Genomic DNA, 25986 nt, shown 5'->3' with positions numbered 1-25986 from the left:
TTCGCCATGGGAAGTTGAGCTAAAGCCGATATTCCTTCTAGGCATCCTTAGAACAGAATAGGTGACAACTCTTAAATTTTAAAATGTAAGTCTTGGGGGAATTTATTCATTCAGTAACATTGTAAAAAATAGCCCTAAATCCCGATGCTGGACCCTCAGTGGACATCTGTTTTCTGTGATGGGCCCAGCTTGGACCTGTTCGAGGGTCTTACTTCTATGCGCTTCTCAGGCAGGGAAGGTCCCAGTGGCTCTGCCTTGCTGGCTTTCGGCCCCAGAATCGAATAGAGGTGGGAGTGGGGGAGAATTGCTGGAGAGCTGGAATCATGGGATAGGAGCCACTTGAGCCAGGAGCTTCATCTCTCTGGTCCTCATTTACCTTAGCTTGAGGCACTGCAAAAAAAAAAAAAAAAAAAAAGGCTTAATTTTTGTCCAAGTAACATGTGCAGTGTGGGTTAGCAAGAGGGGCTATGCCCATTGTCACTGTCACTCAGACTCCATATGATGGAGGCTCCATCTCAACCTATGTTTCTGTGATCAGTGAGGCTGATAGAATGTAGTGATTCCATCACTGGATCTCAGACCTCCTTCCTGGAGGCAACTTATGTGACTGCCACTCACATCTCTTCCTGGTCAAGGCAGGTCTCACGTTCATGCCCAAGTGTAGCAAGGGCAGGAAGCACGGCCCAGCCTCTTATCTGGGAGGAGGAGAGTTGTAAATACAGACGCTTCTCAACTTAAGATGGGGCTATAGCTTTATAAACCATGCACTGAAAATGTCATCAGTCAAAAATGCATTTAATTCACCTAACCTACCTAGCATCCTAGCCTAGCCTCGCTTACTTAAAATGTGCTCAGAACACTTACGTTAGCCTACAGTTGGGCAAAATCATCAAACGCAAAGTCTGTTTTGTAATAAAGTGTTGAATAACTTAGGAAATTCATTGACTACTGTACTGAAAGTGAAAAACAGAATGTTTGTATGGGTATTCAAAGTACAGTTTCTACTGAATGTGTGTCACTTTCACACCGTAGTAAAGTCAAAAATTCCATAAGTGGAACCATCAAAAGTTGGGCACCATCTGTATTTTGATGAGTGGCACTAATCGCCAGCATAGACAATTATCAGGGACTACTAGGAGTAAGGGTCAGCAGCGTTGAAGTCTAAGTGGATGACAATGACAATGGCGAAAAATAACAGGTGCCATTTATTGAACACAGTGAAGTCTGTGTCAGGCCATAATGTTACCTGTGTCATCTCATTTGATCCTTACACCTGGATGAGGTAGACATTTTTTCTGTCCCCCATTTACAAAGGTGTGAGCGGAGGTTTGAAGAGATGAAGTCTTTGTCAGCCAGTATGAAGCATCTTTCATGCTCACTTGAGCACGGTAATGGTGGCAAGTTAATGAAGGAGACATCAAGTCAGAGCCCAGAGAGAGTCCTAGGGTCCTAGTGGAAGAAAAGGGCTTGCGAAGAGAAAAATACCTATTGCAACCATGAGGTCTGTTGGAGAGAAGCGCAGGAGAATTTACACCAAACATACTTTTATCTGGCTTCCAAGCCGCTATCAGTGAACTTCGTTGGCTAAATCCAGCCAGCATCCAGAAAACAATGGAGTCCCTGATTGATAGAGGCCGCCTACGACAGCCTCCCAGGGCACAGAATTGGATAGAGAAGGATGGAGATTGGGTCTGTAGAGGTAGACAGGGACTATCCATAGGAGTTATAGATCTTAGTTTCAAACCGAGATTTTTCTGCCACTACAGCCTAAATTTTCAGTCATTCTGCTGGAAGAAACTGGTGGTGTGGCTACCATGCAGGGAAATGCTTAGGAAAATCAAAGCTCTGGGTCATAAGCTGATACAGTCTTCAATTCTCAACTGACAAGGAATTTGGGATGTCCCCCTTTGGAATCATGTATATATACTATATTTGCACCCATTCTGTGAATATTTCCATATTATTTGTAGGAAAGCTCATCTTTACAAAGCTATTATTTATGAAACCATACCTGTAAACCACTCCCCCACCAAAACAAAAGACAAAAACCCAGCAATCAATTTTTAAAAGAATTCTGCTACACATTTGAATGATAGGTAATGGGAAGTCTGACAAGCTGCGCGTTCAAGGTCCCTTCCCAGCGACTCCACTATGAATAGACAATGAGAACACATTTGCTTTTCTCCAACAAGCCGGAAGAGCTTATTTCCCCCGTGCAATGAAAAGTTCTATGAATTGGGCCAGAAAGCTTGACTGTGATTTATCTGAAAACAACTGTTAAACATTTCAGAAATTAAACTTACTAAAATGTAGGGGAAGGAGGGATAAAATAGACACTGAGAACAGATATTAAATGTTCCTCTTTTGTGGTGAGGGGAAGGGTGGGGGGAAGGTGTTCTTTTTATTGATTCCATTCTTTCCTTTGATGAGGATTTATTGTCGTGCTTTTGAATTGCATCGGAGATATTCAGTGCCGAAAAGACTGGAGTTTTCACATCCAGGAAAGTTTGCATGGGACACAGCCTACCCGGTGGAAAAGACAGCCTTCACTGGGTTGGAAAAGCAATACTATTAGGTAGTATATATGGAACGTGTCCTACACACCAGGTTCTCAGCTAAGCGCTTTTAAACATATGTTTCATTTATTTCCCACAGCAGGCTCATGAGCTCAATAAGCTCAACAAGCTTATTGTTTCCATTTTATGGATTAGGAAACAGAGGGACAGGGAGATTAAGTAACTTGCCTGAGATTCCGCAACTGGTCAAAGGTAAAACTAGAATTCCTTTCTCAAGCTGTTTGACTTCAGAAACACTGCTCACAACCACTTTGCTAGATTCCCTCCCATGTATTTGCCTTCAACTGCACAGTTACTTCCAAAATGCTGTTTCATTGACCGTCTGCTGTGCTCCAGGAGCAGCTTAGGAAGTTAGCACGTCTATTATCTCAAATCCTCATGACAGCTCCATAAGGTGATTCTCTTTCATTGTTCTCATGCTCCAGTTGGGGAACTTGACATTCTGCAAGGTTTTGTGACACGCTTTTGGCCACATAGCTAGTCAGTTGCAGAACTAGAATTAAAAATCATGTTTCTGTGGCTGTAAAACCTGTTCCGTCTACTGCGACAGGCTGCCTCTAAGCTACTGCTGAGTTGAGTATCTGGCTGTTGATGCCTGGAGCAAGGGGCTGTCGCCCGGGCTATAGGGCTTTGGTCTGTCCTCCACCCTGGTGAGGACCAGTGTGAGAGTGTGAGCTTGCACACCCACATGCACACGTGCATTTATGCTCACAGCATTGCTGCTGGTGCTTACAGGCAACTTTATGCACAGTGGGAAAAGGTGAAAAGGCACTCCCTCTGGGCAGACCTAGCTCTGTGGTCACATGAGTTGAGCAGTCAGCACCTTTGTGTTGCAACTCAGCCCCTCTCTCGCGCTGCTTGACATCTGCAGCCACCTGGATGGATGCGTGTGCCTATACAGGTATACAGCACGTGTGGAATGTCTTCGGCGCTGTGCTGCCCACGGCCCTGGGCTCTGCGAGACCCATCCTGGAAACACACCTACATCCATCCTTAACCCTTGGAAGAGTGAAATCAATACCAGCAAACCCACATTTTTTCCTGCCACAAAACCTGACTCACGCACATCTGTTACTTTATTACGTCTTTACCATTATTTTCTTCACATTTGAATATGGATGATCTGGGAGCTATTAAACAGTTGTTTTCATAAACGGCACACCCTCACCTTCCTAGGATTCATAATGAGCTCCCCAACTGCCGGGCAGAAGGAGGTTTCTTCTCAGAAGAGAGTCAGCTCAGATGGTGAGCTGGGGGTCCAGGTGGAGCCGCCATTTCTCCCCTAATAGGACACCTGGAGATGGGCCTGGATTCTGAAACCCAAGCTGATCACATCTGCTCCATGGAATGTGGAACCCACTGCACCGCTGGCCTAGGAGTGGACCCCCAACCCTCAAAGCTCATGTGCAGATGGGCAAAGCTGGAAGGTTCATTTTCTTCAACCAGAGACCAGTACCCTGAGCTGGCTTGAAAATGGTCTGGATACTGGCTTCGTGGAGAAACGACTGAGAAATTGAAAGGGGCTCTGCCTTAAAATAAAGAGTCTGGGAGGCCCACCTGTACTGAAGGTGAAGCTTTGCCTGTTCTTTGTGCCTCTAGCTTAGATCCAAGGGTAGAGGATGAAAGATCTGTCTTTCAAGATAAAGAAAAACATTGTCATTCAAAGAGCTATGGGATTATGAAGCAGGCTGTCTCTACAGGTAGTGAGTTCGCCATCACAGGGAATAATCAAAAAGAATCCATAACAAGGAATATTGGAGAAGAAGTTCGTGCACTGGGTGTCAGGTTAGAGAGATCACTTCTCAACTCTGTCCCCTGAGATGTTGAATATATAACAGAGCAGCAGTCTGGCCAATCTGTGACTGGTATTTTGCTGCAGCTAATCAAGGTGGCTTATGTTTGCAGACCGAAGCAGAGGTAAATATGTAGAATTTATTACCATGAGCTCTGAAGCTAGATGGAGATGAATTCCAATGTTGGTTCTAGTGTGAGATGTGTGACCCTGGGCAAGTTTATTGATTTTCTCTAAGCCTCAGTTTCATCCTCTGTAAGCTGGGACTCACCTATCTCACAGGAAATTTTGCAGGCCCAATGGGCTACTGAATGCCGATTGGTGAGCACTCAATAAATGGCAGAGATATATGTACCATACATATTATCTTAAGTGCCAGGATCAGGCTGCTGGGAAGCCAGTAACATGCTTCTTGTGCATGTAACACCGCACACATCTCTCTCCTGGCTCTAAATGCATTCTACGTCTCCCTTATTTTTGAAATTAAAATTTGTTAAATGCAGCAATGTTTTTATTGTCAGTTAAGATGATAAAACTTTCCTGGGCAGTCTGGCCTTTTCAGAAATAAAGACCTGAATTTGTTAGTATTTCTATTCAAATTTTGGACTCTCATATAAGTAAACCATTCCCTCTCTCTCTTTCTCTCTCTCTTAAATCACATACACACAAATACTAGTATTTTAAAAAATACATTCTCTTGGCTATGAGAATGACGTGTTGGGGGATCTTTTCTTTCCTTTTCTTTTCTTTTTTTTTGAAAAGGAAACTCCTTTTCGGGGTTGGCATGACATTAATAAAAATAATAAGGGAGAAGGTTTGGAGAGAAAAGGTAAATAAGGCAATTCATACATCATCTGCAGGAGACACAGAAGTAAGGCAGAGAAAAATCACCACCCCGCCATTGTGCGCGGGGAGATTCTCATGAGTCAGCTCATTTGCTGCTTTCTGGCCTCCCAGCTGCCGCTGCAGTGGGGTTGACTATATCTTCTAGGTGCAGGGGGCCAGGTTTGGAACCCACTCACAATTAGCTGGGCTTCTTTTCTGCAACCAGTGCTGATAGAAGCATCTCTTCACATATAGCAACTTAAAATTCAAAAGAATCCCTCTCTGTCCCAACCACACATATAGACACACAAATGCACACTTGCACACACTTGGACAGTGGTGACCTTCAGGGCCTGCATGCAGAAATGACCAGCTACCCAATGTGTGGGGCCCAACACAAAATGAAAATGTGGAGCTTCTTGTTCAAAAATTATTAAAATGTCAAGACAGCTACAGCAGAGCATTCGATGTGTATGTCCCCTTTGAGGGCACAGGTCACAGGCCCATGAAGCTGTCCCTATTGTGTGCTTGTTTAGGTCACAAGTCTTCTGGGTATGACAGTAAATAGATCCCAGGGTGGCTTTCCATTGTCCCTTTGATGAGCAACTGCCTTAAAAGTGTGTGCAATGGAAGGAAACAGAACCTTCCATTCTGGAACCCAAACTCTGCCTCTATTCTGGAACCCAAACTGTGTCTCCATCCCAGAACATCTCGAAAGAAGCAGAGGCTGTTCTGAAGGGTGGGGTGATAGTCCCCAGACTGCGGGGAGATACCACACCTCCAGGACCAGTTAGAAAACATTAATAAAACCTCAGAATTAGACAGCTTTACAATCAGAGGATTCTCGAGAAACAGTCTCTCTTCTAGTGTCCTCATTTTCCAAATGAGAGCAATGAAGAAGCCAAGAGGAGGCAAATATATGTTCAATAAAAATAGGCAATATTTATTGAGCCCTTTTGCTGTGGGCCAATGTGCTTCTAAGCACTATATTTGCCTTTAACTCACAATCCATACAGGGGATAAACACAGTTGTTGTACCCATTTTATGGAGGAAGAAACTGAGGCTTAAAGTTCGGTAGCCGTCCTGCAATCGCCGAGCTAGTAAATGGCAGAGTTTCTTACAAACCTGATTCCAGTGACTTTGTAACTGTTCTGCCATGTCCAAAGCGATTTAGGAAGAGTCCCTGCTTCCTACGGCAAACTCAGGATACCCTCCGCTATCCTTCAGCGGTGAGTCCCTTCCCTGGGGTTTTCTGATATTCCCTTTCAACCCAGTTGCTCCATGAATTCTGGATGTGGCTCTCTCTGACAAGTTAATTCTCACCAGTAGACACAGAAGAGGCATTGATAAGAAGAGGCTCATCAGAGCCTAAGAAACAAAATAAGTTTGGTGCTTTTGTGGATAACAGTGGAGTGATATCAAAACCAGGCCTAAAAGAGCACGCATCCCCAGAGAAATTGAGGGAGAGGCAATGCCATGCCAGGCCCTGGGCCCCCACTGTGAATGAATTACACGCTCAGGCCAAGGTAACGCAGGCCTTGGCCAATATCCCCAGGTCTTTCCTGCCCTGTGCTGGCCCAGACCCGGCCCTCTCCAGCCAGGAATGGGAAGGCGGGTGGGAGGCGGGAGAGGTCTGCATCAGAGTTGGTCTCAGAGCCCCAGCAGGGCCTCGTGTTCCATCCAGCAAGGGCCCCGCTGCCAACATCCTTGCCAGCCAAGCTGTGTAAACATTCGAGCTCTTCTGGCAAAAGCTGACGGCAGAGAGGGAAGAGACAAAGGCTTCTCCTCCCAGGACTGGATGTGGGGAATGTGCCCCGCTTCTTGTGGCTTCCTTCCTCACTGCCTCCTCCTTCCTGGGCTGTGCATCACAACCAGGGCCTAGAGGGCTTTGTTAGAGACCAGCATGGTTCACGTCTCCACTTCTCCTTTTCAAAGAGAAGTCCTATTTTTATTCTGCTTCTGCTTAGAATGCCAAGGGTTTGCTACCACGCCTCGGAGATGGTTTCACCAAGGCAGCAAAAAAGTCAAGTAACTTCAGCAGTGCAACCTACGTGTGTCCAGGGTAAAAGCCCCAAAGGAGATAAACAGAGATATAAATATGAAGACTAGAGCAGTAGCTATCATGAATTATAGTTATTATTTTTTAATTGAGGTGAAATTCACTTAACATATAATTATCTGGTTTAAAGTATACAATTTGTTGGCCTTTAGCACTTTCAGTGCCAGGCAGACATCACCTCTATACAGTTCCAAAACATTTCCCCCCATTCCAAAGGAAGCCTCATACCCATTAAGAGTCACGCCCCATTCCCTCTCCCCGAGCCTTGGGAACTGTTAATCTACTGTCTGTCTCTATGGATTTGCCTCTTCTCGACATTTCAGATAAATAGAAACCTATGAGACATGCCCTTTCTGGTGTGTCTTCTTTCAATTACCATAATGTTTTTGAGGTCCATGCAAGTTTTTGGTTTTTGTGCAAGATTTTCCTTTATGTAGTCTGTGCTATATGTAATTTACTTTAAGTCAGTATAGGGTAGGAAAGTGGGCTCTGGTAGGATGGTAGCTGTTGAGCCCTGGCTGGAAACGGCATATTCAGCCGGAAGAGCTGGGGAGCCTTTGGTGCAAAGCAGGTGCCAAGAACGCACTGGAGAGGGAAGCAGAAGCAGTACTGCTGAGCAGCGCCCTGGGACTGGCAACAGCAGGAGTTGCTACACTCTAGGCATGAAGGGGCAAGGCTAGGAAGGAGTGACCTACACCCAGGAGGAGAGAGGCCCATGGAGAAAGCAGTTCAGTGGAGACCCCACAGAGAGGGAAGGAGTCAGGGAAATGAATACTCAGTTTCACTCTGCTGCCTACCTCCTGCGAACACTCCCCATTGGCCAAGTCCAACAAGAAGCCAGAAGACCTGAGAGGTGCTCAGCCAATCCAGACACCACGCGGCCTCCCTGGGTGAGGCAGATTTGAGCAAGGGAGCACAGTGGATCTGGAAGGGCAGAATTATCCCCTGCACAGTGGCTCAGGGTTTGCAATGAATGACTCCCCGCTCCTTCCAAGGGTTGCTCCCATGCTGCGCCTTCTTCCTTCCCCGTGGTGGAGACTCTTCTTCCATCCCTTTTTCCTGCTGCAAATCTAGTCCTCACGTCCATGTCTCCTGCTCTGCTCTGATCCACCATCCTCTCACACTGCAGGACTGCGGCCATCACCAAATAGGCCCTTTCCCCCACTTAAAAAGAATGAGATTTTCATGAAACCCAAGTCTAATGCTTTCAGGTAATAACAATTAGGTATTTTATATATTTTTATAATGGATGCATACAAACTCCAACAGAAGAAAATGCTTATGAGTACTAGAGAAAATGGGATATTTGGCAACCCTTATTGCAGTGACTTACATGCTTATCAGTTCATTTACGAGATTTCCCAAACACATGTTGAGTAGAAAAGTAGGATGCGGCCGGGCGCGGTGGCTCACGCCTGTAATACCAGCACTTTGGGAGACCGAGGCGGATGGATCACGAGGTCAGGAGATCGAGACCATCCTGGCTAACATAGTGAAACCCCATCTCTACTAAAAATACAAAAAAATTAGCCAGGCATGGTGGTGGGCGCCTGTAGTCCCAGCTACTCAGGAGGCTGAGGCAGGAGAATGGCATGAACCCAGGAGGCAGGGCTTGCAGTGAGCCGAGATCATGCCACTGCACTCCAGCCTGGGCAACAGAGTGAGACTCTGTCTCAAAAAAAATAAAAAAGTAAGATGCAAGGGCTGGGCTTGGTGGCTCACGCCTGTAATCCCAGCACTTTGGGAGGCCAAGGCAGGCGGATCACAATGTCAGGAGATCAAGACCATCCTCGCTGACACAATGAAACCTGGTCTCCACTAAAAAAGTACAAAAAAATTAGCCAGGCATGGTGGTGGGCACCTGTAATCCCAGCTACTTGGGAGGCTGAGGCAAGAGAATGGCATGAACCCGGGAGGCAGAGCTTGCAGTGGGCCGAGATCACGCCCCTGCACTCCAGCCTGGGCGAGAGAGTAAAACTCCATCTCAAAAAAAAAAAAAAAAAGACGCAGAAAAGTTAATTAAGCATGGTTTATTTTTAAATAACACTAGTGGTACACACAAACAGCAGAGGTTGACAGATAGGAAGAAAGATAGATATTATTCTAGATTTTATTTATAAGAGCAGTCTTAGGTTTACAGAAGGAATGAGCACAAAGTACCCAGGAGTTCCTATACACCCCTCTAAGTCCAGTGCTGGCATTTCTTTGGTTTCAACCCTTTATTTTTGTCCATTCCCACTAAAAATAAAATCCAAATTTCTTATCATAGCCTTTGGGGCTCTTTCTGACCTGGCCCCATCTTGAGTCTACTCCCCATCTCTCTTCTTCACTCCTTCAGTGGCAGCATCATTGGTTCTCTTGCTGTTTCATCACCCAGTGAGACCCTGAACAGCTCACAGACCCATGCCCCTCTAGGTGCACCATGCACACAGCATGAGTGTTGCCTCAACACAGTTCCATCCAGCCCCTCCTGTGAAAAGTAAAATACTGCCTCTGGGTCTTGGCCTTCCTCTCTGGCCCCTCTTCTTGGTTCTACACTTCACCGTCTTCCTTTTTATCTACCAGCCCTGGTTTCAGGTCTTCCCCACATTCTCTCTGCTATGCATGATTCCAGTTCCCATGCAGGAGAGCCTCACCCTTTATGGGTGCTGGGCTGGGGATCTTCAGCTGCTGCTTTGCTTGCCAAAGACGCTAAGAGATATTGGTCATGGGCACACACTCTGAGGTTGAGCCACTCTCTGTTCAAACCCTGAGTCCTTCCCCCAGGAAATAAAAAAATCATGGGCAAAGGAACCCAAGGCCTTGGACTTTGCCGAGCCTCAGCTTCCTTAGCATTAAAATGAGGCTACAGAAGGCATCCATTTCAGATGTATGTCCTGGAAATGGAATACAAAGAAAGGACTTGGGACAATAGCTGGTTACAGAGTAAATATTCAGTTGATTTTACATTTTTAGACTATCATTAATCCAACTCCAAGAAATCTCTTTCTTATTGCATATTTCACTCTTGGGGATCAAATTATGCTGCTCAGTAGGAGAGACATCCTTCCTTATAGCCTGGGAAAAAATGACGACTTCTCCTCCCTCTTCTTTTCCTCCTCTCTTTCCTCCTTTTCTCCTTTCCCCTTCCCTTCTTTTGCTCCTTCTCTATTTTCTTTCTTTCTTTCTCTTTTCCTTCCTCTTCCTTCTATCCATTGTTCTTTGCGTTGGGTGTGCAGATTTTGTCTGCCATGTCCCAAGTTCTCCCGCATTCTGGTCACTGCCACGTGAATATCTCTTGCTTCTTTTCTCATGAGTGCATTTTTATCCCCAGCTCCCTATCCCCATGGCCTCCTGGCCTCAGGCCTTCCAGCCTTCCAAGGGACCGTTTGGCCACAGGAATGCAAGATGTAGACCCCAGTCGCCTCACCTTATTTGTCTTGCTGGCCACCTGGGCAACACTTAACAGCCCTGGTTTACCGTCAGGCCCAGAGACCAGTCGTGGCTCCCTCAGTGATGCATCCCTCGGGCCCTGAAATCTGCATTGTCTCCGGTCCCTGCGCCCTGGGAGTGGCTGTTTGTCTTAGTGCTATGCTTTGGACAGGAAGCAAGAGCTTCCGGACATACTGGTGATCAGAGGACTCTTCCCCTAGGAACAACGGGTCCCCTTTTCTGTGGCCTTTTTATAAATTTTAATCTTCCTCCTTTGACAAGCTTCCCCCCTGTCCCGTGACTGAGGGACAAGGACAAACCAGCCTCACAAAATATACAAAACCCTTCAAATTGTCACCTTGCAGTAGAAAAGCCCTTGTTACTTAGTTGCCCCTCACTCTGTAGAGGAACACTGGGGCAGGGAATGAAATCCATAATCAGGATTTCCAGATTACATTTTGAATTGTGTTTTTTGGCTGTTTTTCAGAAAAGAAAAATGTCAATGCTTTACAAAATTTTGTGAAGCAGCAATATCTTCCACCTGTTTTCCTCCTACTTGGAATTTTTAGTTTAAAAATGAGTTAATAAAATAACTTACCTTGTAGGTAAGATCTGTGTTTGAAAACGTAGCTGAAGACAAGGCTGTTCTCAGTCATCCTCAGGGTTTTGTTTTTCTAAAATGTGAAAAATGCTATAAATACTTGCAGATGAGGGCATACTCCAAAAGGGCAAATGTGGCAACCCCCAAACAGAATTGGACACCCCTGAGAAACAGAATAGTAACTCCACACTGTGTGTGTATGTGTTTGTGAATGTGTGTGTTCGTACAAGGCATTCATACAAGTCATAGTCTTGTAGTCAAGGGAAAAGAGATGAGGAAAATGTATATTGTCCCCTCCAAACTCTGGCAAGAAAATACAGAGAACAGCTTCTTTAGTCCAATGTATGAGATTGCCAGGTTTGAAGACATAGTTTCATTTTATATCCATCCATCATCCACTCATCCATCCATCTATCCGTCATCCATCCATCCATCAAACATACATTCATCCATTCATTTATTTATCCATCCATTCACCCATCCATCTTCCATCCTCTATCCATTTATCCATCCATCCATCCATCCATCCGTCCATCCATCCATTCAAGTAAGAATTATTGGGTAATTGTTTTATGCCACACATTATGTTACATGGGATTCCCACCTAATCTTCAGAGAAATCCCAATAAGATACTTGTTTTTGTCTCCAAAATAAGAAAGCATAGGCTCAAAGAAGTTAGTAACTTGTCGAAGTTATGCAGCTATAAGAAGCTGAACTGGAATTCATTCTTACTATCTCCAAAGCCTGAGTTCCTTCTGTTATATCATGCTTATCTGAGTGGTGGGGACAGGTAGTTGGTGTCAGGTGGAGGCTATCAGCTATAAGGGACAAAAGGGGAGGGAAACTGGATGACTCCTATTAGGCATTTTAGTTTGGTTCTCCTTCTTTCTAAAAATGGTTTCAAATATCTCAGCTTAAGTGTATTTAAACTCAGGCTACAGCATAACGGCCAAGTTAAGATGGCCCAAACAGAAGGTGAAAAGTCACATCTGAATATTTAATTTTAGATAACACCCTCTGATAGGCAGTATTTAAAAGAACATGAGTGGAAGAACTTATCCTTTCTTGAAAACTGTGAGGTTGGGAGAAATTTGGGGATATTTACTGAGCCCCTGCAATGTAACAGTTAACATGTTACAGACAGAAATTATGGATTTAATAGTTTTATTTATTAATATTTGGCCTAATTTTATAAGTGGTTTATAGGATATAGTGACAAATCAACACTTAAGAAATTACCAAAAAAGTAAAAATAAGATAATGACAGAATTACACATTATGAAAGAAGGTCAAGACTACGGAGTAACCATAAGGCAGAAACACGGACCAAGCAATTCAACACAGTTGCTCTGATTGGGCCACACAATTAGTTCTGAGCTTCCTGGTGACCAAAGTAAAAAGGGAAGCAGGAACACTCATGTGATTTTTCTTGTCCAAGAAAACTAAACAAAGCAGTTCCTCTGTAGGCAAAGATGAACAGGAGTTCACACTCTGGAGAGTAGAGTCAGAGAATCCAGCCACAATGAAATCCACAAAGAATGATCAAAAGAAGGCAGTATGATCATTGATTTCTGTCCAGTAGGGAGATGTATCTCAAAGAAAAGAGAAGAGATTTTAAACTGGGGATGATAGTGGCTTAAGTTCTCAGTCCTAAAGAATTTTATGTACTTTAATTTTGTAGTAAACTTTTTTAATTATCAAAATTTTTTATAAAGCTCTTAGAAAATGTGAGTCCTTGTAAATAAAAATTTTAACTTATCTAAATGATGGTCGCTTTGTGGTTGTGGCTAGTATATCAAGGGATTTAACTACTTAGCATCGTTTCTGGAGCAGTGTAGACACTCAATAAAAACGTGTTGAGTGAGTGAATAAAATAGAAACAAGGTGGTTGTTGAACAAAGAGAAACAAAGGACAAACTTAATAAAATCTTGGGCATTCTTCATTCAAATTCAGAAATAATTGATTTCTGAACTTGTGCCCAGCCCGTAAACCAAGCTGTCCTTCTTAGCAACTTAATATCTTGAATTTGAACCCCCAGGCTCTCCTGCAATGCTACTACTTGAGAATGTTAGATAGTTTACTGATTTTTACATACTTTGACCCAATTCCTTTGATAAAAGCTGATAGCTTTTTAATCCACATTATTGAGGCTTAATTATATTTACTAAGATGTGTGTAGTTTTAGTGTACTGTTTGATGAATTTGATGAGTGGATTATCCCATGTAACCACCACGTTAAAGAGAGTAAAGAATATTTCCATCACCCTACAGAGTTCCCTTGGGTTTTTTTTTATAATTAATCCCCTACCACTCTCCACAGGCAAACCCTCATTGAGCTAATGAGTCTTTATATATATATATATATATATATATATATATATATATATATATATATTTATATTTATATTTATATTTATATTTATATTTATTTATTTTTGGAGACAAGGTCTAACTCTGTTACCTAGGCTGGAGTGCAGTGGTGCAATCTCAGCTCACTGCAACCTCCACCTCCTGGGCTCAGGCTATCCTCTCACCCCAGCCTCCTGAGTAGCTGGGACTACAGGTGTGCACCACCACGCTCAGCTAATTTTTGTATGTTTTGTAGACACAGGGTTTAGCCATATTGCCCAGAGTGGTCTCGAATTTGTGACCTCAAGCCACCCACCCACCTTGGCCTCCCAAAGTGCTGGAGTTAGGCGCATGACCCACTGTGCCTAGCCTGATGAGTCTTTAGTCTGTTTTTCACGTTGTTCTTAAGGTTAAGAGTTCGGTAAAACAGAAGCTTTAAAAGTTTTCAGGCTACTTGTTAAGCCTAATGCTCTTATTTTAGCCATGGGTAACCTGAGGCCAGCAGGCTTGTGCTTGGCTAGTCAATGGTGAGGCTGATGGAAGTAGCCGGGCCTCAGGAGCCATGCTCCTTCCACCGTATGTACCTTTCTGAGTCCTTCTGGCTGTCACGACAAGGGGCTCTTGAGAGGGTACTCGGCTGGGAGAAATAGATGACACGTATTCACTGAAGTTAAAAATTGCAGCGGTGGTGAAAATTATTCTGAATTATCCTCAGAATTATTAAGAAATTGATACCCTTAAATAAATGGTTGAAAGAAATAAGTTTTGTTGGGAATAATACCTCACAGCCACTTCTCAGAAGTCCAAAAAGAGAAGCAAGTTAAGAGATGCCCTTCAAGCCGCTGGCGGGGGAAAAATACAGAGTTCCTAATAAATATCTCACCAATCCAATTATAACATTCAAATCAAGGAGAGAAAATACGTATCAAATATAATGGAAGTTTTCTTTTCCATTTAAAACACAGCCTGCTTCTCATTGTCCGGTGCCGAAGGGGATTTCAAAGTCAGCTTTTCTAGGTGAGGGGGAAGAATGCCGTGTAAATCAAAGTGAAATAATCAATTTTTTTCTGGTGGAAATAACTTCAGTTGTTTGATGTAATTTTGACAGTCAGCATAATTTCAGCATCAACACTGAAGTTAGGGGATCAGGGTGTCTCTGTGAGATTTGTGTAGTAAGAATTTACCAATCAGGAAAATTAACTTAGACTTTGAATGCAATGTGGCCTCAAGCATTTTGACATAAAATAAAGACTTCTGCTAGATTAACTGCCAATGGAAAGGCAGACAAGACCTACTGCCTGTTCTGGTGGCTTGACTGGTGTCCCCCCAGAGTTTATGTCCACCCAGAACCCCAGAATGTGAACTTATTTGGAAATAAAGTTGTTGCAGATGTAATTAATTAAGGTGAGGTTATACTGGATTAGGGAGGATCCTAAATCCAATGACTGGTGCCCTTATAAGAAGAGGAGCAAACACAAAGACAGATACAGAGGGAAAAGAAGGATCTGACAACCCTTCAAGGAGGCAGATGCTGGAGTGTTGTAGACAGAACCCAAAGAGCACCAAGACTTGCTGGCAGTCACCAGAAGCTAGGACAGATGCTTGGGGCAGTTTCTCAGGGTCTCCAGAGGGAGTGTGGTGACACCTTGATTTAGGACTTCTAGAACTGGGAGGGAATACATTTCTGTTGATGTAACCCACCTGTTACAGGATCCCTTTATGGAAGCCCTAGGCAACAAATGCACTAGCGGTGGGTCAGATCTTTTCTGCTTAGAGAAACAAGAGCCAGCCCATGATCAGGATATAGCAACACCAAAAAATATGGCGGTGAATTTTCCCTAACAGAGAAACTGGGCTTGCAGTATTTTGAGTCAGCAGTCAAGATTCTTCCATACACTCTCTGAGAAGGTCTAGCTATATGTCTCATCCAGTAAGTGAGAGGCAGACACCTCCATGAGTCCCAAAGTTTCCAGCAGGAAGTCAGTCTGCATCTCTACTGGTACTTTTTTTACTCTTCTAGTAAAAAATCACTGTGATGCTGATGCAGTGTACCTTTCCCAGAGACGAGTCCTAGAATGCTTCCCAGGGAGCATACTCTGAGCCATGGAGAGATTAGATGAACAGAACTTTGTGTACTTTTTCTGCCTACAGCCACCCAGCCTCTGGGTGGGACCAGTCAAGCTCATAATCTCTACCGTGGTGTGAAGAAACAGTGGCTTAGAGAGAAGAAGGAGTAGGATGGCTGGGGACAGAGGAAGTTTCATGACAAGCAACTACTGGGGTATGACACATGGTGTCTGCGCTTCTGCAGACAGAGGTCTTGTGGAGACTTTTGTCTAGGTTACTATAAGCTGGAAGGCTGTTGTGCAGACAGAGGTTTGCCTAACCCCAAAGAGCACATACCACCTAGTAGGCAACAACATAACACCATCCCATGAAGAATGTTGGTGGAGATGGCAGATGGGATTATTGTTCACTGTTCCTTTCTCCCTCTCTCTCTGTGTGTGTGTCAGATTTAGCTTCTGCATTAATTTCTGGTGGCTGTTGTAACAAAATACTACAAACTGGGTGGCCTAAGCCAACAGTAATTTATTCTCTCAAAGTCCTGGAGGCCAGACCGTCTGAAACTGAGGTGTCAGCGGGGTCATGGTTCTTCTGGAGGCTCCAGGCAAAGGTCCGGTGCTTGCCTCTTCCAGCTCTGTTGGCATTCCTTGGCTTGCTGCTGCATCTCTCTCTACTGTCTTTATATAACCTCTCTATGTGTCTGCCCTTAAACTCCCTCTGCCTCTTTCTTACAATAATAGATATGACTGCATTTATGGTCAACCAGAATAATCCAGGACAAACTCTTCCAGGTCTGTAACTAAATCACAAATGTTGACCTATAAGGTAATATTCACAGATTGTAGGGATTAGGACATGGACATATGTTTTTGGGGAAGTGTCTTTGTCTTTTGAGGCTACTGAAACAAAATATTGGGTAGCTTATAAACAACAGAAATTTATTTTGCACAGTTCTGGAGCTGGGAAATCTATAATCAAGGTGCCAGCCCATTTGGTGTCTGGTTAGGGTCCACTTCCTAGTTCGTGGATGGTGCCTTCTACCTGTGTCTTCATATGGGGGAAGGGACAAGGCAGCTCTTTGGGGCCTCTTTTTATAAAGGCACTAACCCCATTCATGATGACCCCATTCTCGTGACTTAATCACCTTTCAAATCTCCACCTCTTAATACCATCACATTGATGATTGGATTTCAACATATGAATTTTAGGGAAACATGAACATTCAGATCCTAGCAGGAAGCCACCGTTCCGCCTACTATAGCTTCTATGCCATGGGCTTTTGCAGTGCCTCTCCCTATGGAGGGTGGAGTTGTCATTGAGAGTCCATACATCTCTGTTCACTCCTGACACCTTGCCATGAGATGACTGTGTCCCAGATGGTGCTTACTCCTTCATTCTGTGATGAGCATGAGACCCAAAAGGAACAGATCCAACTTGACCTGCAGGTTGGAGCACAGCTGATGCAGCCCAGCCACAAAAGAGGGTGCTAGCAATATATGCTTGCTGTCATACTTCACAGAGATCTGGGGACTGCTTGTTACTGCAGCAAAGATGACTAATACAATGGAGATTGCAAGTTGGCTTCGAGTAGGCCTGTGAAATACTTCTGTGCCTTTCATTGATAATCCTCCTGAAATGTCTGTGCTACCTTGTCTATCTGGGGAGGGCTTCCTACTCTCCTCTCTAAAAAGGCTTAAAAAATCCAGATGGAGAATCTTGGAAGTATCTTTCTGTAATTCCTTGCTACACATCTGCCTTGCCCACTAGACTCTCCTAAGAGTCAGGGATGGTGCTGAAGTGTCTCTGTATACTCCACACCTGAGGAGAGGTTTTAAGAATGGATGGATAAAAAAATGAATAAGTAAATTACCAGAGTATCCTTAGCTTTCAAGGGCTGTAAGAGAAGAAAGCACTTGCTTACTGGGCTAGGATAGTATAGAGGTTATGTTATATACAAGGATTCCAGAAACAAACTCATGGATTTGAATCCCAGCTCTTCCACTAACCAGGCATATGAACTTCAGCTAGGTACTTAACCTCTCTGTTTCTGTTCCTATATGCATAATGGGCGTACTAATAGCCTCCATCTCAAGGAGCTGGTGTGAGTTGTAAACAACCAAACACTTGGCACAGTGGTGGGCACCAGGTAAGCACGATCTAAGCCAGGAGCAGGCAAAGTGAAGCCCATGGGCCAAAGCTAGCCTGAAGCCTGTTTTCCCATTGCTGACAAGCTAAGAATGGCTTTTGAGTTTTTCAACTGTTGAAAACAAATTTCTTCTAAGGATATTCCTTCATCACACATACAGATTATATGAAATTTAAATTTTAGTGCCCATAAGTAAGGTGTTGTTGGAACCAGCCATACCCACTCATTGGCACATTGTCTATGGCTGCTAACCTGCTACAACGACCAGAGCCGAGAAGTTGCAATGGAGACCACGTGGCCCTTTACAAATAAAGTTTGCTGCCTCTTGATCTAAGTTGTTATAATCTATGGTTATACTTAGCAAGTGTGCCCAAGTACTGGAGCTAAGATACCACCACTTCCTCTCTGCCTGACCACACCTCAGGTTTAATGATGATTTCTGCAAAAGAGTCCCACAGATGAGCAGTCCTGCTGATTTCATCTGGGTGCAAGGGCAGGAGGGAATGGAAAGTCCTACCTTCTTCAGCTCCTGTCCCTTTAGTTTTATAGTCTCTGTGCATATCTTGTTACTCTCAGAGTGGTGTCTTCTGGTCTCTAGAACTGGGAGAGCTCAGAGGAGAGGTTATGCTAGAAGACTGGTGAAATACATGAGTCAATAGGGAACAACAGATAGGTGAGCAAGGCATTGCAGGAATCAGCGCTGCTGTATCCACCACAGTCTGAGCTTTCTCTCATTTGCTGGGAAAAATTCAGAGGCTTCCTCTTTTCTCCTTCCTTGTCTCTTCCAATTACTTCATTAATCCACTCAGCAATTCATGACTATGCATTTCTTGAGTGTTCATTATATGCCAAGGATTGTGCCAGGTGCTGGGGTTCAAAGCATGACAAGGATGAACCCACGGGTCTAGACCTCACCAGATTCCTCGTCTTGGGGTCACTGTAGACCCACATGAGGCCTGTGAGGTGAATTAGATAAAGGCATCCCTTCCTCCTGGCAGAGTTTGTGGCAAGGCAAATTAAAAAAGAGCTAGGTATAGGCCTAGTTTATTTCCTAGGCCAGTGACCTTGGGCAGTGCACAGCCAGCACAACTGTACATAGCAGCGCTGCTGGGTCTCCTGGGAGGCACTCACAGCTAACAGGGGCAGAGGAAGCAGGCGGGTGGAGTGGGGTGAGGAGAGTTGAGGGGCATACATGGCAGCATCTGATCCATCCTGGTAAAAAAGGGTGCCTTCTAAGGGGAGACTAGTACCTGTCTATAGCAGTGAAAACAGCCTTACAATAAGCCTTTTTTTCTTCTGTATTATTGCTTGTTTTAAATATGAGGATTCGGAGGCAAGGAGAGGTCAATTAATCCTTTGCAAATTTCTGAAACTTCCTTTGTAGAAGAGAGTGAGAATTTATGTGCCACCATTTAAGCTGTTTCAACACAGTCACTGGCATTGCATTTTGGTGGAGACACTAAATGACTTAAGAGAGTTGGGAGATGGAGAAAAGATGTTTTTATTATTATTATTATTCAGAAGCTTTTATTTGATCATATAAATTGTTACACTCACTTAAGTTTCTGCCTCAACCAAGACCAAGAATTACATCAACCAATATTCTCAGGCCCACTGCTACTGTGTAGAACCTTAAATTGTAACTTGCAAGGAAAAAAATAATAATCAGAGGGATTTGTCATGATTGGATGATCAGATTCTAGAAAATCAAAACCTACTTTGTTATAGAGATGAATTTGCATATTTGAAGAACACTAGATATCATGGGCAAGCTCAGCTACTCTTTCCACTGGTGTGTTTATTTTCATAGCCCCATTGTTTATTAAATGTGCTTGCATTGAAGCATCTCTAGATCCTGCCATCTGCATTATGAAGAGAAGAATTTCCTTATGTGAACTCCCTCCTTTGAAAACTATATCCATATGGAATTCTCGATTTATATAGATGAAGGCAGATATCTGAGGTATGTTATATAATACCACGGCAAGAAACTGCTCTGTTAATAAGACTCAGGGAATTTCTAGTAGCAGCTGTGATAACAGAACCTGAGGAGTGTCATGCAGGGAGAGTAATAAAGTACAGTAAAAGAATTTAGGTTGTGTCTTTGAAATTCACTGTGTACGACAGTTCTAAGCCTGCTGATTTTGCTAGTCAATGCCAGAAAACCTCACCCTACTCTGAAATGATGGCTGCCTAGAAGCCCTTTTTGAGTCTTTTATTTGTTACAATACCATCTGCAATCTTCCGAAATGACCCTTTTCCAAAATGCAGCCAAACTCTTCTCTGGAATTCCCTATTCTCTTTCTTTGCTCTATTTTTTTTAAAGTTAAGACTTATTTCCATCTGACATGACACGTACTAGTTAGCTACTGCTGCATAACAAATACTCCTACACTTAGTGGCTTTAAAATAGCAACATTTTTATCTCATAATTTTTGTGGGTCAGGAAGTTGGGCATAGCTTAGCTAACTCCTCTAGCTCAGGGTCTCGCACAAGGCTGCAAGAAAAATGGTGGCCAAGACTATGGTTATCTCATGGGTCAGCTGGGGAAATCTGCTGGAGTCATTTTAGAAAACATCTATCAAGCCATTTATTTTAATTATTTTGTGTGTGTGTTATCTCCATCACACTATAATAGAAACTCCATAAAGGCAGAGATATTTCTGATTTGTTCCTTCCCGTGTCCATGGTGCCCAGAAGTAAGCTTGACGTGTGGCTGGTGCTCAAATATTTGTTGAACGAATGGACCAGTGTAGAGACTGTTTCTGCTCCTTGCAGAAGTCCCATGCATGTCTTAATTCTTTTTCTTCATCAGCACAAGGGAAGCTGGAGAATTTTGAGCATCAAAATTCTGAGATAGTATAAAAACTAGGAGAAAAGTTTCATTTTAACAGTCGCGGCAGGCAGAATAATATTCATGCCCTAATCTCTGGAACCTGTGAATGTTACATTACCTGGCAAAAAGAAACTGTGGCATAAGAAGAAATCTATATGTGGTCTCTGACCCTGGTTTCTGGCATGAGAGCTTCTAAAACTCTCAGAATTTCCTGAGTGATAGAAGTAAGGTGAGCATCTTTTATTTATTTTTTAAGACAGTTCTGTCACCTAGTCTGGAGTGTGGTGGTGTGATCAGGGTTCACTGCAACCTTGACCTCCTGGGCTCAAGTGATCCTCCTACCTCAGCTTCCTGAGTAGCTGGTACTACAGGTGAAAGACACTATGTCCCATTTAAAAAAAAATGTTTTTTTAGGGATGGGGTCTCACTATGTTGTCTAGGCTGGTCTCCAACTGCTGGTTTCAAGCAATCCTCTCACCTTGGCCTCCCAAAGTGCTGGGATTACAGGCATGAGCCACCGAGTTTGGCCACATCTTTTGCTATTCTATCACCAATAACCAATGATTTAATCAATCACGCCTACCAAATAGAGCCTCTGTAAAAACTGTAAACTACCTGGTTTAGAGAACTTCTAGGTTGGTGAACACACCAGGGTGTCTGGGGGGGTGACACGCCTGGAGAGGAAAATGGAAGCTCCATACCCTACTCACCATACCTGTCCTTATGCGTTGCTTCCATTTGGCTGTTCCTAAGTTGCACCCTTTACAATAAACTGGTGAATGTAAATAAATATTTCTCTGACTTTTTGTGAGGCACCCTAGCAAATTATAGAACCCAAGGAGGGAGTCTTGGGAACCCCCAATTTATAGCCAGTTTGTCAGATGTCCCAGAGGCCCAGACTTATGACTGATGTCTGAAATGGGACCAGTCTCATGGGACTGAGCCCTTCATCTACGGGATCTGCATAACTCCAGGCGGTTACCGGGACACTCAGTCAGTGTCTGCTGAGAATTAGAGGATTGGTTAGTGTGGGAAAACTCCTACACATTTGGTGTCAGAAGTGTGGTGTGAGTACTATGTGGAGAAATAGTGGGGTTTTTTTCCCCTAGGAACTTTGCAGATGTGATTGAGGTTATAGACCTTGAGGTGGGAGATTATCCTGGATTCTCTGGGGTGGGAATACAATCGGATCACATGAGTCTTTAAAAGTGGAGAAACTGTCTTGGGTGTGGTCCCAGAGATGGAAGCTTGAGAATGATTTGACTCCCTGTGGCTACTTCTGAGATATAGGAAGCTTTATACAAGGAGAAGAGAGAGGCCTCTGGGAGGTGAGAGCCACTCCTGCTGACAGCCAGCAAGGAAACAGAGACCTCAGTCCTACAACTGCATGGAGCTAAATTCTGCCAACCCTGTGAATGGGCAAACCCAATTTTTTCCCAGTGCCTCCAGGAAGAAACATAGCTTGCTAATTCCCTGGCTTTCATTAGGTGAGAGTCATACTGGACTTCTGACCCGTGGAACTGTAATATAATAAATCTGTGTTGCTTTTCACCACAAAGTTCATGGTCATTTGTTATGGCAGCAATGGAAAACCAATACAACTGTGTTCAACAGCTCTGGATTCCTGGCTAGGCTAAACATGATAGAAGGCTTTGGAAATAGCAGTGGAGAGATTTCTCATTTGCTGTCACCATGGAAATGACCCAAGGATCATAAATCGTGGGTTTTTTGAAAGAGCCTGATTTTCAGGGAAATCCTTATGTAACCTGGGATTGTAGCCCTCAAGGAAAAAAAAAAAAAACCAGTTCCATGAATACACATCCACCAAGAATAGAGACTAAGGGGCAGGTCTTTGCTCTTGATAAGGCTTTGGGGGAAGCAAAGTCTTTCCTTGGAACTTGTTTTCTCAGGAAGTATTGATGTCTTCTTTCCAGCAAAGAAAATGTTTTCATGATGCTCATAATGCACATACTCATAATGCAAGCTGAGGTGGCTGTCATTAGCTCCACCCTTTTATCAACTCTTTTGTCTTCTTAGTGAAATAAAAGACCACAGGTCAATGGATTTTCATTTTGTGAAAACTTCCATGTAACCGAGACTGGGCACAGTGGCTCATGCCTGTAATCCCAGCACTTGGGAGACCAAGGCAGGAGAATCACTTGAAATCAGGAGTTCAACAGCAGCCTGGCCAACATGGTAAAACCTGTCTCTACTAAAAATACAAAAAGAGGCCAGGTGCGGTGGCTCATTCCTGTAATCCCAGCACTTTCGGATGCTGAGGTGGGTGGATCATGAGGTCAGGAGTTCAAGAGCAGCCTGGCCAAGATAGTGAAACCCCATCTCTACTAAAAATACAAAAATTAGCTGGGCGTGGTGGCAGGCACCTGTAATCCCGGCTACTCGGGAGGCTGAGGCCCAGAATTGCTTCAACCCAGGAGGCAAAGGTTGTAGTGAGTCGAGATCATGCCACTGTCCTCCAGCCTGGACAACAGAGTGAGACTCCGTCTCAAAAAAACAAAAACAAAAAAACAAACAAAAAACAAAACAAAACAAGACAAAACAAAACAAAAAAAAAACAGAAAGATTAGCTGAGCATGGTAGTGCACACCTGTAATCCCAAGTACTCAGGAGGCTGAAGCAGGAGAATTGCTTGAACCCTTGAGATGAGGTTGCAGTGAGCTGAGGTTGTGCCACTGCACTCCAGCCTGGATGACAGAGTGAGTCTCTACCTCCAAAAAAAAAAGAAAAAGAAAACATCCATGTAACCAGCACCTATGTTAAGATATAGATCATAACCAGTTCTGCAGACCCCCTTCATAGCCCTCCCAATCACTAACCTCCTAGTATGATCTCATATCTCTCTTAACTTCTAACACCAAAGAATAATATTGCCAGTTTTTTGAATTTTATGTAAATGGACTTAAAGAATGTTCCCTTTTGGGTCTGGCCTCTTTCTCCCATGAGTATGTTTATGAGATTCGCTGCATGTTGCATATAGCAATAGTTGTTTTTTTTTTCTTGCTGAACGGCAGTTGTGTGAGTAGACTACAATTTACTTAACCTTTTCATGATTGATGGACATTGTATTCATTTAAGCTTTGGGGCTATGGTAAGGTGCTGCTATAAAGTTCCCATATGTGTCTTTTGGTGACACTGTTATCTATGCATTTCTGTTGGGTTTAGACCTGGGATGGGGGATTGCTGAGTCAAAAGCATTTTTTTTTTCTTTTGCTATATATAGAACAAATGGGCTGGGGTAAGGGTGAGCTGAGCCATGTAAATTGCCCAAATACAGGGTCAGATCCGGTCTTTCTTTAAAATTCGGATACGTTGCACATCATGGATTGTTTTGCATTTGTTTTGACTTTTTGTATTAATTATAGTGTTGAATTTTGGTTGGTGCTCCCTTAAATTTTGCACCCGGAATGAATGCGTCGCTCACCTCACCCTAATCCCAGCCCCAGGCGGGTCTCATAAATGCCTCCCTGCCTGCATTCTTCATGTGTGGTCTGAGAGGTCCACTGGGCCTCTTGGCTTGAGCAGACCGTTAGGCACCCGGTCCTCAACTCTCATGCCCGTGCCTGCTCTATCTCATGGAGGCACTTTGTTTTATTATTAGATAGGCTCTTTTTATTCACAGAGATCTTTGCAATATGGTCTTGGGGGAAAATATTTTGAGCTTGACTTTGAATTAATTAATTAATAGCTTGGACTGGGGTCTTCTCAGGCCCTCATTGTCAGTTCCGGGTACGTAGAAAAGAAGTGGGAGAGGAGACCTGTTGTTTATGAAGGCCTGGCTGGGCAGAGGGGCTGCACTCACAGCCGGAGTAGGTCTAAATTCTTCTCACTAAAATCCCCCTTTCCTCCATTTCTTTAAGAGGAAGAGATTCTCAATCACCTACTTCCTATCTGTCTAGCCAGTGCTATCCCAAGGCTCATAGGAAGAGACTTTTCAGGGCTTGGTTTATTAGATTTGGGTAAGCACATCTTCTCAAGAAAAATTGTTCATCAGTTGGCGTAATTTACTTGTCTGGAGCAGAATATTTTTTATTTTGTTACATGTTAGTCGCTGGGCATTCTGGGCATAGCAGCAGTGCATGCAAATCCAGGCTTATTTACCACCGGGAGGCAGGGGATACCAGGACTTAGAAACCAAGGTTCTACCTGGGATGTTGGTGATTGATTTCACTATGGGGAAATGGGGCAGTGGTGTGACAGCTTCAGAATTGACTGGGACTCGAGACTGCGAAGCTGGCTCTCTGCCTGTTTCTTGTGTTCAACAAAGAAGAACCTGCATGAAGAATGCAATCAGATGCCACAGGAGAAGACTTTTGTTTGCTGGTTTGTTTGGCAGACCAAGGGTTCTATCCACATCTAAGTTCTGGTTAATTTCATGAGGCAGCTACTACCTCCCAATCTCTCGGTTCCTCTAACTGCCCACTCAGGTTGGTGTTTGCCCCATTTGTAATATTACTGATGTGCCTTTGAGTCTGGTCCTCACTGCTGTTTTCAGCCGTCAGGCCTGCCCTGAAAGCACATAGTAAGCTCCACGGGATATCAGGCTGCTGGGTCTCAATAACCCCATCCTATCTCGAACTGCTTACCCTCCCCTTCTCACCTTCCCTTTCCGTTCTATCCTTTCGGAATTCAGACTATCTGTGACTTGTTTCCATTTATTGATTCTCATCACCATTTTCTCTGATTCTCAACGTGATTTCCCTAGCTTGTGTTTGTGGTTCCCTTGGTTATCACACTTTGGGCGTCTCATCTGATCATAATGCCAGAAAACATCCTCAGTAAATCACCCCGCCTCTTCCTTCTCCATTCATCTCTGACATCACAGAGCCCATTTCTGGGGAACATGACAGCCCAAGAGTGAGACCTGGACAGTTAGAAATAGCAGAATTGTGTTACCTTCACTGCATTATGGTCACTGTTTTGTTCTCAGTACAAAACAAATATTTATCTGTATTTCTTAATGCATAGAACTTTGAGAGTGAAAGTACTATGTACCACTTTCCAATCTCTGTAACAGTCTGGCATACATTTTTCTAAGTCTTATAATATATTTATGCATGTGTGAGTGTGTGTGTCTGTGTATGTGTGCATGCATATACTTCTATATTCATTTAACCATATATCTGAGGTATCTGTTTATGTCAGTGCATATAGATCTGTCTCTTTCTTTTTAAAGGCTGCAGTGAGTTGCATTGTATGAGTGTATCATAATTTATTTATCTAATTAAAACCAGAGACTCTTAAAGCTCAGCTAGTGCTTTCAGGCAGAGGAATCCCCTCTACAGCATCTCCACAGGCTGCTCGCC

At 43.7% G+C, this 25986-nt stretch overlaps 1 protein-coding gene and 1 long non-coding RNA gene across 6 annotated transcripts in view; one reads left to right on the top strand and one right to left on the bottom strand.

Moving 5' to 3' along the window:
• The window catches only part of MAF (MAF bZIP transcription factor), a 398116-nt gene that overhangs the window by 84367 nt on the left and 287763 nt on the right, over positions 1-25986 (top strand). The window lies entirely within an intron of this gene.
• Positions 77-10824, bottom strand: LOC124903729 (uncharacterized). Its single transcript, XR_007065128.1, has 2 exons — positions 10663-10824; positions 77-390 (listed from the first exon to the last, which is right to left on the bottom strand). It is a non-coding gene; the product is annotated as an uncharacterized LOC124903729 (long non-coding RNA).

This window comes from Homo sapiens, chromosome 16 (assembly GCF_000001405.40).
Source record: "Homo sapiens chromosome 16, GRCh38.p14 Primary Assembly".
Classification (NCBI taxonomy): Eukaryota; Metazoa; Chordata; class Mammalia; order Primates; family Hominidae; genus Homo; species Homo sapiens.
Note: the sequence above shows the minus strand (reverse complement) of the source record. Positions and strands in the feature narration are given on the sequence as shown.